Source organism: Homo sapiens, chromosome 6 (assembly GCF_000001405.40).
Source record: "Homo sapiens chromosome 6, GRCh38.p14 Primary Assembly".
NCBI classification, from domain to species: Eukaryota; Metazoa; Chordata; class Mammalia; order Primates; family Hominidae; genus Homo; species Homo sapiens.
The window spans coordinates 43,011,135-43,035,137 of record NC_000006.12 but is presented as its reverse complement, the minus strand read 5'-3'; the positions used below and the strand labels follow the sequence as shown (position 1 = coordinate 43,035,137).

The window sequence follows — 24,003 nt, the reverse complement described above, 5'->3', positions numbered from 1 at the left end:
GGCTGGAGTGCAGTGGCACGACCTCGGCTCACTGCAACCTCCGCCTCCCAGTTTCAAGCGATTCTTCTGCCTCAGCCTCCCGAGTAGCTGGGATTACAGGCTCCCGCCACCACGCCCAGCTAATTTTTGTATTGTTAGTAGAGACAGGGTTTCATCATATTGGTCAGGCTGGTCTCAAACTCCTGACCTCAGGTGATCCAGCCACCTCGGCCTCCCAAAGCACTGGCATTACAGGCATGAACCACTGCACCCGGCCTTTTTTTTTTTTTTAGATGGAGTTTCGCTTTTGTTGCCCAGGCTGCAGTGCAATGGTGTGATCTCGGCTCACTGCAACCTCTACCTCCGGGGTTCAAGCAATTCTCCTGCCTCAGCCTCCCGAGTAGCTGGGATTACAGGCATGCGCCACCACACCCGGCTAATTTTGTATTTTTAGTAGAGACAGGGTTGCTCCATGTTGGTCAGGCTGGTTTCGAACTCCCGACCTCAGGTGATCCGCCCACCTCAGCCTCCCAAAGTGCTGGGATTACAGGTGTGAGCCACCTCACCTAGCCTACAGCAATTCTTAAGGGAAGAACACACCAGCTTTGGCCTTGAAACCCTGCATGTCGCCATCTGCAGTGCAGCTCCTGTGTTGCCCTCTTCAGCACACATCTCACCCCACCCTGAGATTCGGGACTGCTTGATTTGCCCAAATCCAGGTGAGAAGCTTTGATTTCAGGCACAGTCCAGCCTTCTGTCACCAGCCAGGAAGGACATGAACCTTTCTCTCCCTCAGGGCCATCCATTCTAGAGGGCAGAGAGTTGGCCTCATTTCTGAGATAACTTAGGGGACAGAAGTTCACTACCCTGAGCCCATTGTGAGGCCATCCTCACAGCCGTGACTCCTTATATTTCTACTGCTGGGTTGGGACCTTGGCTTGTCAAGACTAAGTAGTCAGCCCCCACCACCCCAAAAACAAAACCAAGCAAAGACCACATACAGATTCCATTTATAGGAAATGTCCCAAATAGGCAAATCTATAAAGACAGAAAGTAGATGAGTGGTTGCCTAGGGCTGAGGAGACTGAGGATGACTGCTAAGGGGCATAGGGGTTTTTTTGGGGGGAGGTGTCAAAAATGTTCCAAAATTGTAATAGTTGCACAATTCTGTAAATTTACTAAAAAACACTGTATACCTTAAATGGGTAAACTGTATAGTTAAGTGAACTGTATCTCAATAAAACAAAAACAAAACCCAAAAACCAACAGCTGAAGCTCAGAGGTTTCCAGTATCTCCCCTTGGTCCCTGTTGAAGGGGAAAAGCAACAATTTGAAGGCTTAGAGTAGCCAACACTGACTGCCTTTTAATGGACATTCACATTTTATAACCACATCATCTGAGCCCATTTCCCATGCTTGGGAAACTCCCCGCCACAAATCTACACAAAAGATAGGGCTCACTTCCTACCCTATAAAAGACCAGATCCTGGTTTTCCCAGTGCTATAAAGCCATGTGACCAAGACTTAGCTAATCAGAGCAAAGCAAGAAAGTAGAGAACACATTTTGGTGGCTATGTGACACTTTCGTATCAACACCATAATTCTGATAGGCTTTATCAGCCAGAATCCATTATTTGACTTTAAAGTAGGATTGACATATGTGACAACAGGGACCCTGCAGCACTGGGTCCCTCACTTCCTCCTGTCCCAGTAGCTACATCCCTAGGGTTAAAATCACCAGAAGAGCAGTTTCTCTTTCATCTCTCATTATGCTGCAGCTTCAACTTCTATCACCAGAACTACGTCTTACCCATCCCAGAAGCATCAAGCAATAGATGTCCTAACTTCTGATTCTACTTCTCTTCCTTTTCATTAGAGCTACCTTTTTCTTTTTTTTTTTTTTTTGAGATGGAGTCTCACTATGTTGCCCAGGCTGGAGTGCAGTGGCGCAATCTCAGCTCACTGCAACCTCCGCCTCCCAGGTTCAAGTGATTCTCCTGCCTCAGCCTCCTGAGTAGCTGGGACTACAGGCACGTGCCACCATGTCCGGCTAATTTTTTGTATTTTTAGTAGAGATGGGGTTTCACCGTGTTAGCCAGGATGGTCTTGATCTCCTGACCTCATGATCCGCCCTCCTCGGCCTCCCAAAGTGCTGGGATTACAGGTGTGAGCCACCGTGCCCGGCCCAAGAGCTGCCTTTTTTTAGATACAGGATCTCACTGTGTTACCTAGGCGGCAGTGCAGTGGCTGTTCACAAGCGCAATCACTGCATACTACAGCTTTGAACTCCTAGTCTCAAGTGATTGTCCCACCTCAGTCTCCTAACTGGGGGCATAGAGCTGCTTTTAAGGTAGGCATTCTTTCTTTAAGAAAGGGTCTTGCTCTGTCACCCAGGTTGGAGTACGGGTGGCACAATCACGGCTCACTGCCTCGACCTCCCAGGCTCAAGTGATCCTCCTGCCTCAGCCGCCTGAGTATTCTTTGTAGAGATGCAGTTTCACCATGTTGCCCAGGCTGGATAGACTTTCAAATGTTCCTGGCTTATGATTTATCTAGCCTTAAAAAAAAAACAAAAAAAACAAAAAAAAAACTAGGCCAGGTGCGGTGGCTCACACCTGTAAACCTATCACTTTGGGAGGCCTAGGTGGGTGGATTACTTGAGGTCAGGAGTTTGAGACCAGCTGGCCAACACGGTGAAACCCCATCCCTACAAAAAAAAAAATTAGCCAGGTGTGGTGGCATACACCTGAAATACCAGCTGCTCAGGGAGCTGAGGCAGAAGAATAGCTTTAACCTGGGAGGAAGAGGTTACAGTGAGCCAAGATCGTGCCACTGCACTCCAGCTTGGGCGACAGAGGGAGACCCCATCTCAAAAAAAATTCTAGAAAATGCCCAGCCTCTTTGAAATATTCTTTCCTGAAATTTTGATTGTCAAGTCTCACATTTATCTTCATTTTGTTGTTTTATAGACAGGATCTTGCTCTGTCACCCAGGCTGGAGTGCAGTGATGCCATCATAGCTCACTGCAACCTCAAGTTCCTGGGGTCAAGCAATCCTCCAGCCTGAGCCTCCAGAGAAGCTGGGACTATAGGCATGTGCCACATGTCTGATTTTTTAATTTTTTTTTAGAGACAAGGTCTCCTTATGTTGCCCAGGCTGGTCCCCAACTGAGGACCTCAAGCAGTCCTCTCTATGCCTCCCAAAAAGTTGGGATTACAGGTGTCAGCAACTACACCCAGCCTCTTCCATGTTTTTTAACCTCTTTTCCTTAGTTTCCACTTCTCTGTATGTCAGTGCTCTCTCTGTGTAACTTCAGATCTATTTCCAGTTCATTCTCCCTTTAGGGAGAAGTCTAATCTGCTGCTTAACCATAAAGTTTCTAACTTCTCGTAGTGTACTTTTTTTTTTCTGAGGTGGAGTATCACTCTTGTTGCCCAGGCTGGAGTGCAGTGGCGCAATCTTGGCTCACCGCAACCTCCGCCTCCTAGGTTCAAGCAATTCTCCTGCCTCAGCCTCCCAAGTAGCTAGGATTACAGGCATGCGCCACCACGCCCGGCTAATTTTTTGTATTTTTAGTAGAGACGGGGTTTCACCATGTTGGCCAGGCTAGTCTCGAACTCCCAACCTCAGGCGATCCACCCACCTCAGCCTCCCAAAGTGCTGGGATTACAGGCACGAGCCACCATGCCTGGCCCTACTTTTCATTTTTAAAAGGTTTTCTTTTTAAGTTTTACTTTTTTTTTTTTTTTTTTTGAGATGGAGTCTCGCTCTGTTCCCCAGGCTGGAGTGCAGTGGCACGATCTCGGCTCACTGCAAGCTCTGCCTCCCAGGTTCATGCCATCCTCCTGCCTCAGCCTCCAGAGTAGCTGGGACTACAGGCACCCGCCACCACGCCTGGCTAATTTTTTGTATTTTTAGTAGAGATAGGGTTTCACTGTACTAGCCAGGATGGTCTCCATCTCCTGACCTCGTGATCCACCCGCTTTGGCCTCCCAAAGTGCTGGGAACACAGGCGTGAGCCACCGTGACCGGCCTTAAGTTTTACTTTTTAATCACACCAGTTTAGTACCTTTTGATATTCATTTGTCACACTTTTTCTTTAAACATAAGACATTTTGTATTTTTTATTTTATACTTCTCACATTTTAATTTTTGCCAGTCTGGACGACAGAGTGAGACTCCATCTCAAAAACAAAAAACAAACAAAAAAAAAACAATCCTCAAGAAAGGATTACATTTGCTTCTGCCAGGACCCTGGAGACACTATCTACTTGAGACTTTTTTTTTTTTTGAGACGGAGTCTCGCTCTGTCGCCCAGGCTGGAGTGCAGTGGCGCGATCTTGGTTCACTGCAACCTCCGCCTCCCGCGTTCAAGCAATTCTCCTGCTTCAGCCTCCTGAGTAGCTGGGATTACAGGCGCCCACCACCACACCCGGCTAATTTTTGTATTTTTAGTAGAGACAGGGTTTCACCATGTTGGTCAGGCTGGTCTCGAACCCCTGACCTCGTGATCCACCTGCCTCTGCCTCCCAAAGTGCTGGGATTACAGGTGTGAGCCACCATGCCTGGCCATTTTTTTTTGGGGGGGGGGGCGCGGTGGTGATTTCACTCTTTTTGCCCAGGCTGGAGTGCAGTGGTGCGATCTTGGCTCACTGCAACCTCTACCTCCCAGGCTCAAGTGATTATCCTACCTCAGCCTCCTGAGTAGCTGGGATTACAGGCACCCACCACCACACCCAGCTAATTTTGTATTTTTAGTAGAGATGGGGTTTCACCATGTTGGCCAGGCTGGTCTTGAACTCCTGACCTCAGGTGATCCGCCTGCCTCGGCCTCCCAAAGTGGTGGGATTACAGGTGTGAGCCACCACGCCCAGCCTACTTGAGACTATTTTAAACTAAGTTATCAGCCTGAGGATTTTCCAGACCACATGGGTTATAAACTCTTGTCCCAAACAGTACTGAAGGCCAGCTGTGCTTGTATATTACCATGGAAGCTTTATATCCCTACCTCTTAACATCCCTTGCATCCAAAACCAAAGCCAAGTAGGGGAGTTGTGGGATTGGTTCACCCACTAAATGATCTTGTCATCCTTGAGGGGCCCAGATTTAAGTGGGAGGGGTTTCTGATCTGACTTCCCAGTTGTAGATGCCTTAGGCTTTATTGCCTATCCCAATATGTGGCCCACTAAAAAGTAGTTCTAGGCTACCCACAAATCCCACATAAAAGCAGAGGCCTTAAGGCCGGAACGGTGGCTCAACGCCTGTAATCCCAGCACTTTGGGAGTCTGAGGCAGGCAGATCACTTGAGGCCAAGAGTTTAAGATCAAACTAGCCAACATGGCAAAACTCTATCTCTACTAAAAATACGAAAGAAATTAGCTGGGCTTGGTGGCGGATGTCAGCTACTCGGGAGGCTGAGGCACAAGAATCACTTGAACCTGGGAGGTGGAGGTTGCAGTGAGGCGAGATTGCACCACTGTACTCTAGCCTGGGTGACAGAGCGAGACTCTGTTTCGGGGGGGAAACACAAAAAGAAGGCCACAAAAAACAGAATAAAAAGATGAGTAAAGAGAATGTTTATGAAGTGGCTCCTACATAATGTCCCAGCCCTGGGAGTCACGAACAGACTCCATGGTTTTCATTGGCCCCTCTTCTTCGGTATCAGAATCCCTGGTTTAAGGCAAGGATGAGAGAAGAACACGAGGACGCAATGAACCAGATTCAAGCTGAGGCTGTGTGGCATGGCAGAAGGCTGAACTATTCTTGTGTAGCCCTAGGGATAGTCCAAGAGCCCTCTAGTCTTCTCTGAGGCAATGAGATTCAAGGGCAGCTGTGATCCTTGCCCTTGAACGGAAACCAGCCGTGGCCAAATCTGTCCTCACAGATCCATGTCTCCCTGGGGCAGTGGCAGAGCAGAGGATAGTTCCTTATTACTCTTTGCTCAAAGGGAGATGTCTCCTGTCCTTGCCTGCATTTCGTCGCCTCTTTCGACTCAAGAAGTTCTCCAATTTCTTGCTGCGTTTCAGCTCCTTGAACTTCTCAGCTAGTGCCAACTGGCGCTGCTCAGCTAAATGACAGGGAGAATGAAAGTTGGTGAACAAAGAAGGAAGCCCCTATTCTTTCCCAAACCAGGTCAGTAACTCCAAGCCATTATGCTGGATACATGAGTTCTTTAAAGCTCACTGGTGCCCCTCTATCTTTTTTCTGAGACGGAGTCCTGCTCTGTTACCCAGGCTGGAGTGCAGTGACGCGATCTCGGCTCACTGCAACCTCCGTCTTCTAGATTCAAGTGATTCTCCTGCCTCAGCCTCCGGAGTAGCTGGGATTACAGGCGCGCACCACCACATATGGCTAATTTTTTTGTATTTTTAGTAGAAACAGGGTTACGCCATGTTGGCCAGGCTGGTCTCGAACTCCTGACCTCAGGTGATCCGCTCTCCTCAGCCTCCCAAAGTGCTGGGATTACAGGCGTGAGCCACTGCGCCTGGCCAACGGGTGACTTTTTTTTTTTGAGATGGAGTCTCACTCTGTCACCCAGGCTGAAGTGCTGTGGCACGATTTCAGCTCACTGCAACCTCCGCCTCCCAGATTCAAGCGATTCTCCTGCCTCAGCCTTCTGAGTAGCTGGGATTACAGATGCACAGCACCACACCCAGCTAATTTTTGTATTTTTAGTAGAGACGGGGTTTCACCATGTTTGCCAGGCTGGTCTTGAACTCCTGACCTCGTGATCTGCCCTCCTTGGCCTCCCAAAGTGCTGGGATTACAGGTGTGAGGCACTGCGCCCGGCCCAACTGGTGACTTTTTTTTGTTTGTTTGTTTTTCCTGTGAGATGGAGTCTCACGCTGTTGCCCAGGCTGGAGTACAACAGTGCAATCTAGGCTTTCTGCAACCTCCACCTCCCGGGCTCAAGTGATCCTCCTGCCTCAGCCTCCTGAGTAGCTGGATTACAGGTGCACGCCACCAGGCCCGGCTAATTTTTTTATATCTTTAGTAGAGACAGGGTTTCACCATGTTGGCCCCCAGGCTGGTCTCGAACTCCTGACCTCGTGACCCCCCCACACTGGCCTCCCATAGTGCTGGGATTATAGGCGTGAGCCACCGTGCCCAGCCCAACTGATGACTTTTTATATGATCTCAGTACTACTCAATTCAACCAACTATGAACACCTATGTGCCTGGCCCAGCGTGTGTGCATGTGTGTGTGTGCAGTGTAGACCAAGAAACAAAACTGATTGTGTGTGTGTGTGTGTAGACCAAGAGATAAAACTCTGTGTGTGTGTGTAGTATAGACCAAGAGATAAAACTGATTGTGTGTGTGTGTGTGTGTAGACCAAGAGATAAAACTGACTCTGTGTTTGTGTGTGTGTGTGTGTGTGTGTGTGTGTGTGTGTGTAGTGTAGACCAAGAGATAAAACTCACTGTGTGTGTGTTGGGGGGGGGGGGTTGGGAAGTGGGGAGTGTAGACCAAGAAATAAAGGTGACAATGCCTGCCATGATCTAATTAGGGATACAAGACTGGTTACAAACAACTCCCTACTATTTCTACTTTCCTCCAAGTTACCATGGGATCCAGCCTTCATGCCTTCCTTAAAGGGGATCAGGGACACCCCAACACAAGACTCTACCACCATGGCCCCTGCACCCCTGTCCCTGTTAGCAACAGTTGTGCCCAACTCACATTTTTTCAGGAAGTATGGCCGATGGCCCTGCTGGGCCTGAGCCCGACGTTCTTGCTTCAGGGCCAGGTGCAGCTCCTGCTGTTGCTTTCGTTCCTGCTGTGCCATTTCTTGCTGCTCCTGAGGAGCAAAGATGAGATGGGTGAACGGGAGGGATCTGTTCAGATCTGTGAATATCTCCCACCTTTAATTGCTTTCATTACCCACCACAATTATTACCCACTCACCATTCGCTGAAGCAGTTGCTGCAGTTTCTCATGCTCCTCTCCTGAAAGGTGCTTCTTCAACTGTTTTTTCACAAGCTCCACATTGGAAAATGAGTATCATGGTTAGCATTCTGCAAATGTTAGCTGAAATTTTATGTAAAGCATTATCCTAAGAAGTTCACACACATACACACACACACATTTTTTTTTGAGATGCAGTCTTGCTCTGTCACAGGCTTGAGTGCAGTGGTGTGATCTTGGCTCACTGCAACCTCCGCCTCCTGGGTTCAAGCAATTCCCCTGCCTCAGCCTCCCAAGTAGCTGGGACTACAGGCACGTGCCACCACGCCCGGCTAATTTTTTTTTTTATTTTAGTAGAGACTAAATTTCACCATGTTGGCCAGGATGATCTTGATCTCCTCCTTTTGTATTTTAGTAGAGACTAATTTCACCATGTTGGCCAGGATGGTCCCAATCTCCTGACCTCGTGATCCACCTGCCTCGGCCTCCCAAAGTGGTGGGATAACAGGCATGAGCCACCGCACCCGGCCAGAAGTTCACATATATTAACTTGATAACACCAAGACAGTAACTGTTTGTTTGGAGACAGTCTTGCCCTGCTGCCCAGGTTGGAGTGCAGTGACACGATCTTGTCTCACTGCAACCTTTGTCTCCAGGGCACCAGCAATTCCCATGCCTCAGCCTCTTGAGTAGCTGGGACTATAGGCATGCAACACCACACTTGGCTAATTTTTCTATTTTTAGTAGAGATGGGGTTTCACCATGTTGGCCAGGCTGGTCTTGGAACTGCTGGCCTCAAATGATGTGCTCACCTCAGTCTCCCCAAGTGCTGGGATTACTTACAGGCGTGAGCCACCACACCCGGCCTCCAAGACAGTAATTATTATTTTATTTTTTTATGATTAGAAAACTAAAGCATAGAGAGATTAAGTAACATGCCAATAATCACACAGCTAGTAAACTGATGAGCCAGGATTTGAATATGAACTGAATTGGAGAGAGTTAAATCTGCCCACCACTATACTTCCCACTCCCCCTGCCCAACTCTCTAACCTGTGCCCTCATTTTCCACCCCACAAAATTCCCCATAAACCAGTCTCAAGCTGTATACCTCTTTCTCTTTCGCTCGGATGTCATTCAAGAATTGGTATGTTTTGTCAAACACCTCAGGATTATATTCCCCTGACAGATCATCAAAGCGAGGGTCCCGGGCTACCTTTGGAGAGAAGAGAGAGAATATAAAACACAACTGTTCAATCTCCTTTCACTGAGAAAAAGTGCTTCCTGTCTCTTCCTCATCTTTCTTTTTTTTTGCTTTTTGAGACACAGTCTCGCTCTGTCGCCCAGGCTGGAGTGCAGTGGTGCAATCTCGGCTCACTGCAAGCTGTGCCTCCCAAGTTCACACCATTCTCCTGCCTCAGCCTCCTGAGTAGCTAGGACTACAGGCACCCGCCACCACGCCCGGCTATTTTTTTTTGTATTTTTAGTAGAGACGGGGTTTCACTGTGTTAGCTAGGATGGTCTCAATCTCCTGACCTCGTGATTCGCCCACCTTGGCCTTCCAAAGTGCTGGGATTACAGACATGAGCCACTGCGCCCGGCCTCTATTTTTTTTTTTTTTTTTTTTTTTGAGACAGAGTCTTACTCTGTCCCACAGGCTGTAGGGCAGTGGCATGATCCTGGCTCACTGCAACCTTCACCTCCCAGGTTCAAGCGATTCTTGTGCCTCAGTTTTCCAAGCAGCTGGGACTACAGGCACACACCACCATGCCCAGCTAATTTTTGTATTTTTAGTAGAGACAGGGTTTCACCATGTTGGCCATGCTGGTCTTGGAACTCCTGATCTCAGGTGATCGCCCACCTCGGGCTCCCAAAGTGCTGGGATTACAGGCGTGAGCCACAGTGCCTGGCCTTCTTCCTTACCTTTTTACTAATGGGAACAACCTGACGTAAAAATGGTACTCGGATCTTGGCTGACATTTCCAGAGGCCTATGGAGAAATTAAAAGCCAAGTCAAGAGGACTCCAGTGTTGGTCAAAGGCTTCCCACCTGTCACCCAAGACAACATACCTATTCAAGGTCCCAGTTATCTTCCAACTTCTAGGGCAAGCCTTGCTTACCTGTGCTTATCTGCAACACATGCATTTTGGATAGGTGGTCTAGAAGCTTGTTTCTTAGGACTATTTCCAGCTACCAATTGTTTGTACGTCTTAGTCCCCACTTGGCTCTGCAATTCCAACAGCTCCTCAAATGACATGTTAGATGTGCCTGTGGAAGTGGGGAGGGACATACAACTCAGCTCAGCATGTCCCACTGCAGAAAAGACATCTTCCCATCCCCATTCCTTAGCTAGCTAATCCTAATACCCCATCAGACCAATCATTATTAGAAGTCCTAGGCAGCAGAGGCTGTGATAGTGTTAAACTCTCCAACTATTTCAGCAACCTGGGGCCTCATCTTGCTAAGGAAGGTGTATATGTAAGGTCAAAGGTGCACCAAACCATAGTCCCTTCTTTTTCTCTTTTACTCATTCTTTTACTCTCTCTTTTACTCATTCACAGGTTTCCCCAGAAGGGCATCTGCCTCCCTTGCTCAGTTACCATTGCCAGTGTCCTGGTCCACATGCTCAGCATCTCTCACCTCAATCAGTGCTCTAGCCTCCTAGTCTCCCAACCACCAGCCTCACTCCTCTCAAAGCTATGCGCCTCAATTCAGCCTGAGAGAGGCATCGAAAATAAAATCAGATCTTATCACTCCCACACATAAACTTCAGATCATGTTACTCCTACAGGCAAAAGTCCCCAATGGCTTCCATCTTGCTCACAGTAAAAGCCATGTACCTTAATAATGGCCTGCAAGCCCCCAAGTGACCTGGCCCCTGTCATATCTCTACTCTACTCATCTCCTTCTCACTCCTCTCAATGTGTCTCCTAGCAGCATATTCCCACCTCAGTTCCTCTGCACATGTTGCCTCTGCTTGGTACACTTCCCCCAGAAACTGTACATAGGTACAGCTCCTCCCTCAGTTCCTTCAAGCCTTTATTCAAAATCACCTTCCCAAAGAGGTCTTCTCTAAGTTATTTAAAATTGCGACCCCTCGTCCAGGTGTGGTGGCTCACGCCTGTAATCCCAGCACTTTGGGAGGCTGAGGCAGATCAATCACCTGAGGTCAGGAGTTTAAGACCAGCCCGGTCAACATGGTGAAACCGTCTCTACAAAAATACAAAAATTAGCTGGGCATGATGGCAGGTGCCTGTAATCCCAGCTACTCGGGAGGCTGAGGCGGGAGAAGAGCTTGAACCTGGGAGGCAGAGGATGCAGTGAGCCGAGATCACGTCACTGCACTCCAGCCTGGGTGACAGAGCGAGACTCCATCTCGGAAAAAAAAAAAAAATGCAACCTCTCCTAAGCTTTATTTTTTCTCCATATCCTCTATCACCTTAAAAAAAATTGAGCTATAATTCATATTCCACAAAATCCAGTTCTCTAGTCTACAATTCAGTGTTTTATTGCCTTTTAATGTAATAATTTACTTGTCTCCCTTAAATTTTACTTATTTATTTTGAGCTGGACTCACTCTGTCACGAGGCTGGAGTGCAGTGGCGCGATCTCGGCTCACTGCAACCTCCGCCTCCCAGGTTCAAGCGATTCTCCTGCCTCAGCCTCCTCAGTAGCTGGGACTAAGGCACGCACCACCAAGTCCAGCTGATTATTGTATTTTTAATAAGGACGAGTTTCACCATGTTGGCCCAGATGGTCTTGATCTCCTGACCTTGTGATCCGCCCACCTCGGCCTCCCAAAGTGCTGGGATTACAGGCATGAGCCACACCTGGACTTAAATTTTATTTATTTTGAAAAAAGGTCTTGCTCTGTTGCCCAGGCTGGAGTGCAGTGGCCTAATCACTGCTCACTGCAGCCTCGACCTCCTGGGCTCAAACTATCCTCATGCCTCAGCCTCCTCAGTGGCTGGGAATACAGACGTGGGCCACCACCCTGGCTAAATTTTTTTATTTTTAGTAGAAAAGCGGGTCTCATTATGTTTACCAGGCTGGTCTTGAACTCCTGGGCTCAAGCGATCCTCCTGCTTCAGTCTCCCCTGGTGCTGGGATTACAGGTGTGATCCACCACACCCGGCCAGGATAGGAGTGTTTGACTACTTTATTCACAACTATCTCCAGCAGCTAGAACTGTGCCTTAACAAAAAGCCTGCAGCATTTGCTGGGCACAGTAATCCTGTAATCCTTGGGAGGCTGAGGCGGGTGGATCACTTGAGCCCAGGAACTGGAGACCAGCCCTGGCACCTGGTAACATGATGAGACCTGGCTGGGCGAGGTGGCTCACGCCTGTAATCCCAGCACTTTGGGAGGCCGAGGCGGGCGGATCACGAGGTCAGGAGATAGAGACCATCCTGGCTAACACGGTGAAACCCCATCTCTACTAAAAATACAAAAAATTAGCCGGGCGTGGTGGCGGGCGCCTGTAGTCCCACTACTCGGGAGGCTGAGGCAGGAGAATGGCGTAAACACGGGAGGCGGAGCTTGCAGTGAGCTGAGATCGCGCTACTGCACTCCAGCATGGGCAACAGAGCGAGACGCCGTCAAAAAAAAAAAAAAAAAAAAGGTGAGACCTTGTTTCTACATTAAATAAATAAATAAATAAATAAACAAACCCATCCGTGCAGGCGTGGTGACGCGCCTGCAGTCCCAGCTACTCGAAAGGCTGAGGTAGGAGGATCTCTTGGGCCCGGGAGTTCGAGGCCGCAGTGAGCCGTCATGGTGCAACTACACTCCAGCCTGGGCTACAGGGCGAGACTTTGTCTCAAAAAAATAAAAAATATAAAAAATTTAAAAAACAGGCTGGGCGCAGTGGCTCACGCCTGGAATCCCAGCACTTTGGGAGGCTGAGGCGGGCGGATCACGAGGTCAGGAGATCGAGACCATCCTGGCTAACAAGGTGAGACCCCGTCTCTACTAAAAATACAAAAAATTAGCCGGGCGTGGTGGCGGGCGCCTGTAGTCCCAGCTGCTCTGGAGGCTGAGGCAGCAGAATGGCGTGAACCCGGGAGGCGGAGCTTGCCGACATCGCGCCACTGCACTCCAGCCTTGGCGACAGAGAGAGACTCCGTCTCAAAAAAAAAAAATTAAAAAAACAAAGTCTACGGAATCTGCTGAATTCTGATCTACTAAGCCTTCAGCAGCCATGCATGCCTTTTCCTGCCTCCATGCTATTGCACATACGTTCCCCATCGCCGAAAACCCTCATCCTGCCGTGAAGAAACTTCTCAGGATGTCCTAATCCCGGAAGCATCTACTCTCACCCCCCACTTTCCACTGCACTGGGGGCACCCCTAGTGTAGCGTCTGCCTCTTAGAGAACTTGGCAGTCTTACCGGCACCGTCTCTGCAGGCTCAGGGCCCCGCCTGGGAATCTCCTTCCCCTCCCCAGCCCGCCCTGCCCCATGCCCTCACCCCTCAATAGGTCGCGGGCCACGGCCGCGGGCTCCAGGCCCCCGCCGTCCTCCTCGCGGTCCCGGGCCCCGCGGGGACGTCGGGCCCCGGCCCCGGCCCCGGCCCCGGCGCGGTAGTTAGCTCCCGGCATCAGCTGGCAGTAGCGCTCGGAAGACGAATGGCGCCGCTTCCGCTCACGGCAGCCCCTGCCCCGCCTCTTCCGGCGTTCCCGGTCTCAACGTGGTGACGAATGGGCAGAAAACTGCGCGGTCGAGGGCCAGGGAGCCGGGCCCAAAGGATAACCCGCTCTGGAGACATTGTCGCAACCTTCTGCCCGAGTCGCAGGGTGCTGGGTTCCACGCCCGAGAAGCTTGGACCAGGCCTTGGTGGCATTTGGTTTCCTAATACCCTTGGCTGAGAAGCCAGAACCTCAGGGTGCTTGTCCTCGGCACCCTGCCCCCACTGCAAACTCCAGCCTTCTCCACCATATTCCACAAAAACACACAACACGTTTGGAGATTTTAATTAATTTTTATAAAATCTGAGCTGGCTGAACTTCAGAGTACAGCGACAGCTCAAGGAAGGGTGGGATTTATCTGCTGGTCCCCACCTCCCCAAGACGGGGAGAAGGAGGTCTCATGCCAACAGCTGCAACTCCTTTCAGCTCCCAGTCAAGGCTCAAGGCTCAAGCAGAGGGGAGGGGATAGGCAAAGGGGGAGGGGGAAGCTCCTGAGGCTCAGACACTGCTTGCTTCTCCCTTCTCCCCATTCCCTTCCCTTCCCAGCAGAACCTGGCTGGCCCTGGGCAGAGCTGAGGCCCAGGAGCAGCTGAAAGGAGGTGGATGGGGACAGAGCACCAAGGGGAAGGGGCCCTCGGCCCAAGGGGGGAGGAACCTAGCCCCCACCCCGCTACAGCTCCCCACTGAATTCACAGCACAGAGAACACCTCTCGCCCAACAACTCCACATGGAGGTATACCAAGTCCAGGGGTCAAAGGAGCAGGTGGGTGACAGATGGGCAGGGGCAGTGAAGATGACAGCAGGCTCAGGAGGGGAGGTGGCAGAAACTTCCTCCTACCCATGGGAGGAGACGATGGGGCGACTGATATTGCTGTTGGTGGTCATGGCATTCAGCTCCCACCTGGAAGGCCAACAATAAGAGACAGAAAGAAGAGGGGGCCCTCAGCCCAAGCTAAGGGATGTTTGAACCAAGCTAAAAACACACCAGTCTCTCCAACTTCCTAAAGGTCAACCACCCACAGCCACCTCTTACTTAAGAGACCTACTAGGTTGAACAATCAGAACCCACCCACCACCAAATCCAACACCACCCACTCCTCTACCTCCAAGCTCATATGGATTTCCGGTTTATGTTTATGTATGTATGTATATTGCAGTGTCCAGGCACCTGAGATCTGTGTATACATGTCAGTCAACATCCCAACCTGCCTTTCCTGCTTTGCTTAGAGCCAACCAGGCAGCCCCTCCACCTTACCCTCACCAGGAATGCCTCACCCCACCAGGAATACCCATTTTTGCTCTTAACTCCCATCCTTTTAAGGCTCTGACTCAGCACTCCTATCCTTCCTGAGGCCTTCCCCACCCACCCAACCATATTAATTTTTTTTTTGAGTCTTGTTCTGTCACCTAGGCTGGAGTACAGTGGTGCAGTGGCACAATCTTGACTCACTGAAACCCCCGCCTCCCGGGTTCAAGCAATTCTCTTGCCTCAACCTCCCAAGTAGCTGGGACTACTGGTGGCTGCCACTATGCCCAGCTAATTTTTGTATTTTTAGTATAGACAGGGCTTCACCATGTGGCCAGGATGGTCTCGAACTCCTGACCTCAACTGATTTGCCCACCTCAACCTCCCGAAGTGATGGGATTACAGGTATGAGCCACCATGCCCAGCCAGCAAGAGTTAAACTGAACTGATACAAAGAGACGAAGTATCTCAGAATGACCCAGACAGGAAAAATTATATACAAAGTAACATCTGGTGGTTAATTTGAACCTGAAAAATTATACATAAAGTAACATCTGGTGGTTAATTGGAACCTAAGAACGAAATTCAAAGGGAAGCAGCCAGATCTTCTGGAACCAATGTGATCCAGAGGCTCCTAAACTTGTCTTTACTTTGCAGCTAGGTTCTAAGATTTAATCAGTTGTTCTCAGCATGGTCACAAAAATAACTGTATAAGCTTAGGTCTCAGAAAGTGATGCTGCCGAGCTGTATTTTTTTTTCATATAATTTATTCTGCTGACAGTTTTATATGATGGCTGTCAATTCACCTCCTTCCATCTCATTTCCCACAAGTACACTACATCTCCAGCAGAACAAAAATGTCTGTCTCCTCCATACTGAAACCAAGCTAATCAGGTCACACCTGTGCTGCTCACTCACCCTCACTCAATCCCTCCCTTCCAACCACTCGCTGTACCTGATATCATGAGGCAAACAGGACTGGTCTAGGTTATACTGAATCACGGCCAGTTTGCACAGAGTCTTCAGACTAGGGCCTTTAAGGGAGAAGTTGTGGAAAGGAGATGGTCAAAGGTGAGGAAAGGATCCAGTCCTGGATATCACCACCCAAAGACAGGGACCTTGATGGCAGGAGCAATTCAGGAATAACTATACTTACTAAAGTCCAAAATGTGTAAGTCAGAATGATCTATAAGGTCAAATTCATCTCCCAGGCCTTCCTCAGGAGATGGACTGTCGGGATCAAAAGAGAGATGAAAGTAGGACAAAAACTACCCACGAAACCCCCTTTTCAAATACCTCCCACTCTCCCATTAGTGACTTCCCTGAGCCCCTTCCCTCTCTCCTTCTAACCTGGTACCCCCAAAGAGGACAATCTTGTCACCAACAATACAGCAGCACTGGCGCCGGCGGGGACATGGCCCCTTCCCCTTCGGTTCAATCTTTTTCCAGGTAAAGGACACTGAAGAGAAATTTATATGGAAGTTCAATACCTGCCTAGTCCAGGTATCTTCCCCACCCCCATCCCTCACCGCCTCAGGATTATTTTCTTTTCCTCCCACCTCAATTGCTCCTTGTTCCTGCCCTAAATGCAGTGCTCTTTACCAGGATTAAACTTCCAGAGGTCATGGAAGTGCCGGTTCAGCCTTGCATTATAACCACCAAAGATGTACAGCTCCCCATTGTAGCCAACTGGAAGGAGAGAGGAAGTGTCAGGAGTGTGAAGAGGGCAGGAAGGGAACTCCACAGGGAAGTAACAAACACTCACAGGCCGAGTGGCTCCGGCGCCCCTCAGGCAGCACTGGAGTCGGGGGACAGTCCAGCCAAGCCTCAGTTCTGGTGTCAAAGACTCGAATGCGGTTGCAGTAAATCTCATTGTTGGAATGGAATGGCCCAAAGCGGTCGGCACGGCCCCCAAAGACATACATGTGACTTCCCAGCATTGTGGCTGAGTGGAAGTCCCTCCAGCGTGCAGGGCTGCCCTGGGCAGAGGCAGAGAGATGGTGGAGGGGTCAGCACAAAGACTGGAAGAGGATCTCCTCTGACTGAGCTTCCTATCATTGCTTCAACAGAGGGTGGGGATTTGGGAAAAAAAAGAAAGAGCAGACCTTTGTACAGATAAGAGTCCATGTCATGGTGCTGGTATCTAGCTTGTGAATGTCATTGGAAAAACAGTCCGCCTGAGTAGGAAGAGAAAAGGAGGAAGAAAAGAGGGAGCCAATGGTCACTCTCTGACCCTCCATCCCTCCCCTCAAAACCTGCAAACAAGCCAAAGCCTCCCATTTCACCATCCTAAATTGCCCTTCCCCTCTTTCTCAGTCCCACCCTAAACCTCTTATTTTATTCCCAGACCTACCTGCTGCTCGTAGCCCCCAAAAATGTACATGATCTTGCCTAGGACACAGGCTGAATGTCCATCCCGGGCCCCAGGAACTGTCCCTGACACTCGGGGTGTGAACCACTTGTGCGTATCTGAAGGAGATGAGAAAATGGCTCAACTAAGCACCCTCTATGACAGTCCCTCCTCAGCTCTGGGGTACTCTACTCCCCAAGACCCCCAACCCAAACCTTTCTTGGGCAACTGAGGCAACATCTGGAAGGACATAGCCTCTCTGAGATCCATACTCACTGACGTCAAAGGCATAGAGCACATTGCAGGCCCCTTCGGTGTCATTCCGCCCGCCCCAAAGGAGGACTGTGTCGTCGATGAGGACGGTTGAGTGTCCATAGCGCATGTAGGGTACCACAGGAGCTTGCCCACGGATGGCAGACTTCACCGGGGGCAGCTTTGTCCAACGCAAGGACACTGTGGGCACAGCTCTGCTCAGCCCTGGGAACCTCCCTCCAGGCTGTCCACTTTTCCCAAACCAGATGTTTGTCCCCAATCCCCTTGGTCCCAGAGACCACAGCCAAACCTCATCAGCAGCCCGTTCCCACCCTGATGTGGGGACCCAGGGACAGCCCCAGCATTGGCTTACCTGCATTGAAAATGTGCACATCTATCTGACGCAGTGTCTCATAGTCTTCACCAGAGCAGTAACCCCCGAAGGAGTATACCCGATGCCCGACAGCCACTGCAGCATGGTTCACCCTGCGGGGCCCGCCCTCCAGGTGCACTGTCCACCGTAACATCCCCTGGGCCACTGGTTACAGCAACATGCCCCCCCGGCACGGCCTGCTGCCTCTGCTATCTGCACACAAATTGGGGCCACGGGATCCTCAGGCGAGGCTTCTGCCCAGCTCACTGTGACTCTGCCCAGAACCAGCCTTTGCCTCCAAGTGTCACCCTGGGGGCCCTCCCACACTACCCCTCCACAGGGGCACTAGTCTCAGCTCAGGTGGCTGGCCCTGCCCCAAGGGAGCTGCCGAGGTCAGGGAGCAGCCTGGGCCCAGTGTTCTCCAACAGTGAAGGGTGGGGCCACCCCCACCTGATTGCCAGCTCAGAATCTGCATATCATGGTCACAACCTACTCGTGGAGGCTCCACTCTGTCCCTGGCTTGGCACAAACTTGAAGCCCCCTTCCCAAACGGTATATTCTCTTGTCTCTGCTCTGCTTACTGCCACCTCTCTAAGAATCTGTGTTCTTTGAGGTGGGGAAAGGGATCTCAAAATACTCACAGCTATTAATAGCCCAGCCAGCCTCAAACAGTCCATTGAAAGCTGGCATGAGTGCCTCAAAGCAGAAAAGCTTTCAGGCTTTTAGAGTGGAACAATCCCCCTACCCAAGATAGGGCGGGACTGATCCAGGACAGGGACCTCCATGTTACCGCGGTTGGTTAGCCCCTCACAGGGAGCTCCTGTCAAGCTGAGTTGTTGTCATTGGGGTCACCCAGGGCCCCCCACAGGCACAAGGAGTTCCTTTGACAGCTGTGCCTGGTATGCTGCCAGGACTTAAGCCAGAAAGGTATGTGTATGCTTAGGCTTGGGGGATGGTGATAGAGGGAGGGGTTTTCTCCTCCTGCCACTTCCCCATCCCTGCTACTGTGGTAGAGAACAAGCCATTTCCAGTAGAAAAGAGAGAACAAGCTCTTCCACAACTTGGGTTCCTGAAAGGCGGATAGAGGTGGGAGTGTGCAATGCAAAGGGGAAGGGGCTGGGCACAGTGGCTCACACCTGTAATCCCAGCACCCTGAGAGGCCGAGGCAGGTGGATCACGAGATCAAGAGACGGAGACCATCCTGGCCAACATGGTGAAACCCGTCTCTACTAAAAATACAAAAATTAGCTGGGCACGGTGGCGCGCACCTGTAGTCCCAGCTACTCAGGAGGCTGAGGCAGGAGAATTGCTTGCACTCGGGTGGCGGAGGTTGGAGTGAGCCGAGATCACACCACTGCACTCCAGTCTGGCGACAGAGCGAGACTCTGTCTCAAAACAAAAAAAAAGGGGAAGGGAGGCAAAAAATGCCCTTGGGCAGGACAAGAGAAAGATCCAGCATGAGAAGTCATGGTCTTTTTTTTTTTTTTTTTTTTTAGATGAAGTCTCGCTCTTGCCCCCAGGCTGGAGCGCAATGGTGCAATCTCAGCTCACTGCAAACTCTGCCTCCCTCCCGGGTTCAAGCGATTCTCCTGCCTCAGCCTCCCAAGTAGCTGGGATTACAGGCGCCTGCCACCATGCCCAGCTAATTTTTGTATTTTTAGTAGAGATGGGGTCTCACTATGTTGGCCAGGCTGGTCTCAAACTCCTGACCTCAGGTGATCCACCGTCCTCGGTCTCCTGAAGTGCTGGGATTACAGGCGTGAGCCACCATGCCCAGCTGGTCATGGTCTCTTAAACACAACCTGTCAACCTAGTGGCACGTACACCTGGGTACATCTGAGGTTTTTTCAGGCAAATCCTTGCAACTGACAATGCTTTTGCTGGCAAGCATCTCCTGAGTTTGGGTGTATCATCATCTGCTCCCTGTTTAAGAAGCCCTGGCAGAGGAAAGGGCCAGGCAAAACCTCAGGCACTAAAACAGCTCAAATAAGGGAGGCCCCTTGCAGGAAAGAGACATGGCTTTCAGCTGGCTTGCTAGTCCCACCCACCCAACCTCCCCCAACTCCACACCCTAAGCTTTAAATAGCCATGGGACCCATCCTGAAATAGCCCCAGCAGGAAGCTACTCTCACTTCATTACTCCCGCTCTCCAAAATATCTTGGGTCTGGGCTTGTGGAGACTGTTAGGAGGTCGATGGGCTTAAGAATGGAAGTCTTCCATCCTCCCTTATATTCTCTATTCTTCCCTTCAGATATGTCAAGGTAAAGTAAAATATGCACAGGAGAGGAGATAAGCAATTCCAGCCAAAGGTGGAGAAAAAAAATTTTAGTTTCTCTGCCATATAAACAACTCAAATTCAAGGAGAACAAGCCCCCAGGCGCTCAGGGGCTCCTCTTATCCCTGGGTCTCCCCAGTCCTCCATCACCACCAAGCATTTTCAAACTTCTTCTATTCCCTTAATGTATCTACCCGCCTGGTCTCTTGCATTTTTTATTCCCCATTTCTCGCCCTTCTTGATCTCGTGAGAGCTTTGCAGTTTTCTCATTTTTCCTTCTCCTACCATTCCAAGCTCCACCCAACAGCCCTCCATTTTCCCACCTCCACTAAGGAAAGAAAAATTAGCATGCACTGACCACGATACCCCTCTCTGCATATGACTCTATCCCTGTCTTCTTCCAGACATTCCGGCCTCCCCTAGCCCACCACGCCAGACACCCCTCCCCTTCCATTATGCTCAGCTTCCCTGTTTTCATGGCCCAGTCTTCCTTCCCATTTCCTTCATTGCTTCCTCCAGACACCAGGTCTCTCCTACCCATCTCCTCGCCATCCTCCCCTAGCCCTGCTTTCCCCATTAACACTCTCCTTTCCCATCATCCCCCTAGCTCCCTCCCCACCCCCACCTCATCACTCTCAGGCCCCTCCCCCGCCACTCCAGCTCCAGACAGCACGTCCTAAGCCCCCTAATTCTCCCTTGCCCTTCTACCCATCCCAGGCTACCTGCCAGGCCGAGCCGGGGCGGGGCCGCGGGTCCTCGAGCTGCCTGCAGCCTAGAACCCGTTGCGCGCCAACCGACGCCTTAGTCCCCAACGAGATAAACACAGCCAAGCTCGGTTCTTCCGGCGGGCAGCTGTGCGCGCACGTGCAGTCGTAGCTAAGTGCCGGAGGCATTTCGGGACTTGTAGTCCATACGTTTCCTGAGGGACGAGAGGGCTGAGGAGTGGGCAGGGGCGTAGGAGAGATTCTGCGCATGTGCAAATATGTGTCGAGACCGAGGAGGCCACTGGGTAATGCAGTCCTTTGTTTTTTGGGCTGGGAATGACGGAGGCGGGGCAAGGGGCGGACTCCTCGTCCTCGCCAGCGTCAATCATGGATATGGGGCGGGGCTGGAGGACTAGGCACCTCTGCACGTCCTGCCCCGCCGGAAGTGGAGGCCGCGGGCTCTGAGCGGGTGAGGCGCGCGGGAACACCGGCGCCGGGATTCGGATGGGGGCGGGTGGGGGACGCTGCAGCTGGGGCCATTTGAGGGGAGCCCATGGGGCCTGAAAGGCATCTGTCAGGCGGTACAGAGGGGGTCCTCTAGGAGAGGGGAGAAGGGGGCGGGTACGCCGACCTGTTTAGGGGAGTCTGATGACCCAGAGTTCCCAAGTCGCGGGGGAGGCGTGGCGCGGGGAGCCGGGGTTCTGGAAGGGGTGTCTTTTAGGAGGTGGCAGGGCCTCCGGTTGGGCGTTTAACTAGGAAGTGGCGGAGCAAGTTGGTGGGGCCTGGTTCAAGATAAGAACCCCGACTTAGGAGGGGGAGGAACGAGAGGCTGGAATTGGGGCGGAGGGGTGGAGGATGCAGGAGCCTCGGGGAGGAGCTGGTTTTTTGCACGCAGGAGACTACAAGGAGATGATGAGAGGATGAAGATGGGCCTGGTTTCATCCGATCCCTGTCCTACCGCCTCCCTGTTCTTGCAGCCCCTGCCCGGATGGCAACAGTAGTTCTAGGAGGAGACACCATGGGCCCTGAGCGTATCTTCCCCAATCAGACTGAGGAACTGGGACATCAGGGCCCTTCAGAAGGCACTGGGGATTGGAGCAGTGAGGAGCCTGAGGAAGAGCAGGAGGAAACGGGGTCGGGCCCAGCTGGCTACTCCTACCAGCCCCTGAACCAAGATCCTGAACAAGAGGAGGTGGAACTGGCACCAGTGGGGGATGGAGATGTAGTTGCTGACATCCAGGATCGAATCCAGGTAGGGTGGAGGAGGGATGGTTCCTGAACAGGTGAAGCTGGGCTCCCTGAAAGCCTAGACCCAAACGGTCTTCTGTGGCTCTGCAGGCCCTGGGGCTTCATTTGCCAGACCCACCATTAGAGAGTGAAGATGAAGATGAGGAGGGAGCTACAGCGTTGAACAACCACAGCTCTATTCCCATGGACCCAGGTAAAAGATCATTCTTTCATTCTGGAATAATTACTAAGGAAATGAACTGGCATGAGTCAGTAGAAGGAAGTTTCAGAGGAAGACCCTATCCTAAAAAGATAGTTTGTAAACTAAGATTTTGTAGACTTCAGAGTCCAAGTGAAATGCTCTTTTGCTAGCTTTGGGGATGGGCAGGCTTGCCTTAAAGTAACAAGGTGGATTTGGTGACCCTAGCAGCCCAAGGGCTCTGGGTTGATTCGGGGATTGGGGAGGGGAGCTGGTCCCATTATTTCTATGCCTGAATGGCCTCTGGCTCTGATTTCAGAACATGTAGAGCTGGTGAAAAGGACAATGGCTGGAGTAAGCCTGCCTGCGCCAGGGGTTCCTGCCTGGGCTCGGGAGATATCGGATGCCCAGTGGGAAGATGTGGTACAGAAAGCCCTCCAAGCCCGGCAGGCATCCCCTGCCTGGAAGTGACCACAGTGAGAGCTGCCTTATATTCCTACATTCCAGGCCAGAACCAGCACAGGACTGAACACATCCCTGGTTGTAATGTCCATTTCCATCTTCCCCGTCTCCCTTTCCACATCAAGGCACATCAGACTTCTCAGAGACCCACTTTATTCAGTTCTGTACATATGGGGACATCGGTCCAAGCCCAACCCACCTTAGCATGTATCACTCTGTGGAGAATAAAGCACCCTATGTACACAGCCAAAAGCCGCACTGCCTGCGCCCCTGGAACCTGGGTCCGGCCTTCCTCAGCCCCTGGCCCCTCCAAGGTACCTATAAGGGACAAGAGAAGGCCTGCCCAGCATAGCACAAACAAGGAAATAAATAGGTGTTGGCAGGAGCCATGCTTGGGGCACCGCTCCCTGCTTCCTTCTTTCTAGTTTTGGGAACCAACAGCACAGAAAAGCAGTCAGCCCCAGGGTGGTCCCTTCCATGTCTGTGACCCCAGGGCTGCTGCTCACCAAAGACAGGGCACGGGGTAGGGTGTTTATTCATCCCTCCCCGGCCCCACTTGGTCCATCTGGGCCCTATATTCATCAGTTATTGTCCACAGCCTATACTTTTCTCCTTTTGACCTCCCTTGGTCAGGCATGGGGTAAGAAGAAATAATACAACCCTATCTGCCAGCACACGGCTGGGACTGGGGGGCCTATTTGTGCTGCAGGGGGGTTGGCTTCCCTTCAGCTACTCTGGGACCAATGGGGCTTGACATAACTTTGGTGAGAATAATCTCCTGCTGTTCCCTACATGCCTCTGCAGGGGAGAGAGAGGAGGGGAGATACCTGGCGTTCAAATGAGGATGAAGGGAAGAATAGAGGAGCGTATGTATTCCTGTGTGTACTTCTCAGAGCAGCCTCAGGTAGCTGTGGGTGAGGAGCAGGTAGGGGACAGGCATCCCCAGGTTGTCTGAGCACTAAGCATCTTAGTGCTCAGCCTGTACTAGCCACAGGGAGGCATGAACACCTTTTGGGGAGAAGAGGGACCATTCTGTGGGTGTCCCTGCTTCAAGTGCCCACATCCCCCTCCCTTGAGTAGCTAGAGAGGCGCTGCCTTCCCCCAAGACAGCCAGTAGGGAGCAGAGTATGGAGGGCCAGGGCAGTGTCCCAGGGCTGTGTGGGCTGTGGCCCTGTGGTAGGAACGTGAGGGGTCAGAGAGCCTCCTGGCTGGCAGTTAGGAACTCTTCCGCCCGCTTGTGCGCCTCCAGTGCCTTGATGGTGTACACGTCCTGGGGCAGCTCCGACTTCCTCCGCAGCAGCACTTTCTCCTTCTTGATGTCTTTTAGCATCTGTGTGTGAATAG

General features: G+C 51.2%; 4 protein-coding genes across 17 annotated transcripts in view, besides 10 other annotated features; 1 reads left to right on the top strand and 3 right to left on the bottom strand.

The window, feature by feature from the left end:
- Positions 1-5,538: 5,538 nt before the first annotated feature.
- RRP36 (ribosomal RNA processing 36) lies at positions 5,539-13,515 on the bottom strand. 3 transcript variants are annotated; one of them, NR_138081.2, is made up of 7 exons: positions 13,354-13,515; positions 10,006-10,153; positions 9,809-9,875; positions 8,997-9,101; positions 7,886-8,008; positions 7,661-7,778; positions 5,539-6,046 (listed from the first exon to the last, which is right to left on the bottom strand). NR_138081.2 is itself a non-coding variant. In NM_033112.4 (7 exons), exons 1-7 carry the CDS (start codon positions 13,481-13,483, stop codon positions 5,910-5,912), a joined length of 780 nt encoding a protein of 259 aa, NP_149103.1. In that variant the 5' UTR covers positions 13,484-13,515; the 3' UTR covers positions 5,539-5,909. The 3 variants fall into 3 exon arrangements, 2 of the variants coding, with proteins under 2 accessions (NP_149103.1, NP_001316633.1); NM_033112.4 differs by having other exon boundaries at positions 7,886-7,960; NM_001329704.2 differs by having other exon boundaries at positions 7,886-7,945.
- Positions 12,500-13,231: an enhancer, noted in NCBI's record as "H3K27ac-H3K4me1 hESC enhancer chr6:42989645-42990376 (GRCh37/hg19 assembly coordinates)". NCBI's record gives its function as "activates a minimal SCP1, AML or CMV promoter by ChIP-STARR-seq in primed H9 embryonic stem cells {active_cell/tissue: H9 hESC(primed)}" and the evidence as "EXISTENCE:reporter gene assay evidence [ECO:0000049][PMID:30033119]".
- Positions 13,232-13,963: an enhancer, noted in NCBI's record as "H3K27ac-H3K4me1 hESC enhancer chr6:42988913-42989644 (GRCh37/hg19 assembly coordinates)". NCBI's record gives its function as "activates a minimal SCP1, AML or CMV promoter by ChIP-STARR-seq in primed H9 embryonic stem cells {active_cell/tissue: H9 hESC(primed)}" and the evidence as "EXISTENCE:reporter gene assay evidence [ECO:0000049][PMID:30033119]".
- Positions 13,314-13,383: a silencer, noted in NCBI's record as "silent region_17216". NCBI's record gives its function as "represses an Ori minimal core promoter by ATAC-STARR-seq in GM12878 lymphoblastoid cells {active_cell/tissue: GM12878}" and the evidence as "EXISTENCE:reporter gene assay evidence [ECO:0000049][PMID:35858748]".
- Positions 13,394-13,443: a silencer, noted in NCBI's record as "silent region_17215". NCBI's record gives its function as "represses an Ori minimal core promoter by ATAC-STARR-seq in GM12878 lymphoblastoid cells {active_cell/tissue: GM12878}" and the evidence as "EXISTENCE:reporter gene assay evidence [ECO:0000049][PMID:35858748]".
- Positions 13,454-13,523: a silencer, noted in NCBI's record as "silent region_17214". NCBI's record gives its function as "represses an Ori minimal core promoter by ATAC-STARR-seq in GM12878 lymphoblastoid cells {active_cell/tissue: GM12878}" and the evidence as "EXISTENCE:reporter gene assay evidence [ECO:0000049][PMID:35858748]".
- Positions 13,614-13,663: an enhancer, noted in NCBI's record as "active region_24586". NCBI's record gives its function as "activates an Ori minimal core promoter by ATAC-STARR-seq in GM12878 lymphoblastoid cells {active_cell/tissue: GM12878}" and the evidence as "EXISTENCE:reporter gene assay evidence [ECO:0000049][PMID:35858748]".
- Positions 13,724-13,833: an enhancer, noted in NCBI's record as "active region_24585". NCBI's record gives its function as "activates an Ori minimal core promoter by ATAC-STARR-seq in GM12878 lymphoblastoid cells {active_cell/tissue: GM12878}" and the evidence as "EXISTENCE:reporter gene assay evidence [ECO:0000049][PMID:35858748]".
- KLHDC3 (kelch domain containing 3) lies at positions 13,844-20,889 on the bottom strand. Of its 4 annotated transcripts, none has more exons than NM_057161.4 (11): positions 20,790-20,889; positions 17,792-18,004; positions 17,443-17,619; positions 17,170-17,285; positions 16,922-16,993; positions 16,582-16,795; positions 16,419-16,505; positions 16,167-16,275; positions 15,973-16,046; positions 15,772-15,850; positions 13,844-14,471 (listed from the first exon to the last, which is right to left on the bottom strand). In NM_057161.4, exons 2-11 carry the CDS (start codon positions 17,943-17,945, stop codon positions 14,405-14,407), a joined length of 1,149 nt encoding a protein of 382 aa, NP_476502.1. In that variant the 5' UTR covers positions 17,946-18,004; positions 20,790-20,889; the 3' UTR covers positions 13,844-14,404. The 4 variants fall into 4 exon arrangements, 3 of the variants coding, with proteins under 3 accessions (NP_476502.1, XP_047274119.1, XP_047274120.1); XM_047418163.1 differs by lacking the exon at positions 20,790-20,889 and adding an exon at positions 19,924-20,640; XM_047418164.1 differs by lacking the exon at positions 20,790-20,889 and adding an exon at positions 18,285-18,373.
- MEA1 (male-enhanced antigen 1) lies at positions 18,252-23,995 on the top strand. Of its 6 annotated transcripts, none has more exons than NM_001318943.1 (4): positions 18,252-18,718; positions 21,749-22,023; positions 22,110-22,212; positions 22,517-23,125. In NM_001318943.1, exons 2-4 carry the CDS (start codon positions 21,760-21,762, stop codon positions 22,666-22,668), a joined length of 519 nt encoding a protein of 172 aa, NP_001305872.1. In that variant the 5' UTR covers positions 18,252-18,718; positions 21,749-21,759; the 3' UTR covers positions 22,669-23,125. The 6 variants fall into 6 exon arrangements, with proteins under 6 accessions (NP_001305872.1, XP_024302213.1, NP_001350507.1 ...); XM_024446445.2 differs by having other exon boundaries at positions 18,270-18,343; positions 22,517-23,995; NM_001363578.1 differs by lacking the exon at positions 18,252-18,718 and adding an exon at positions 20,859-21,076.
- Positions 20,941-21,060: an enhancer, noted in NCBI's record as "active region_24584". NCBI's record gives its function as "activates an Ori minimal core promoter by ATAC-STARR-seq in GM12878 lymphoblastoid cells {active_cell/tissue: GM12878}" and the evidence as "EXISTENCE:reporter gene assay evidence [ECO:0000049][PMID:35858748]".
- Positions 21,271-21,320: a silencer, noted in NCBI's record as "silent region_17213". NCBI's record gives its function as "represses an Ori minimal core promoter by ATAC-STARR-seq in GM12878 lymphoblastoid cells {active_cell/tissue: GM12878}" and the evidence as "EXISTENCE:reporter gene assay evidence [ECO:0000049][PMID:35858748]".
- PPP2R5D (protein phosphatase 2 regulatory subunit B'delta) overlaps positions 22,796-24,003 on the bottom strand; it is a 27,773-nt gene continuing 26,565 nt past the window's right edge. For all 4 annotated transcript variants that reach the window (NM_001270476.2, NM_006245.4, NM_180976.3 and 1 more), the window contains one exon: positions 22,796-23,989. In NM_001270476.2, coding sequence (NP_001257405.1) covers positions 23,852-23,989 — 138 coding nt within the window. In that variant the 3' untranslated portion in view covers positions 22,796-23,851. The remainder of the gene's footprint in view (positions 23,990-24,003) is intronic.
- Positions 23,024-23,524: an enhancer, noted in NCBI's record as "H3K4me1 hESC enhancer chr6:42979352-42979852 (GRCh37/hg19 assembly coordinates)". NCBI's record gives its function as "activates a minimal SCP1, AML or CMV promoter by ChIP-STARR-seq in naive H9 embryonic stem cells {active_cell/tissue: H9 hESC(naive)}" and the evidence as "EXISTENCE:reporter gene assay evidence [ECO:0000049][PMID:30033119]".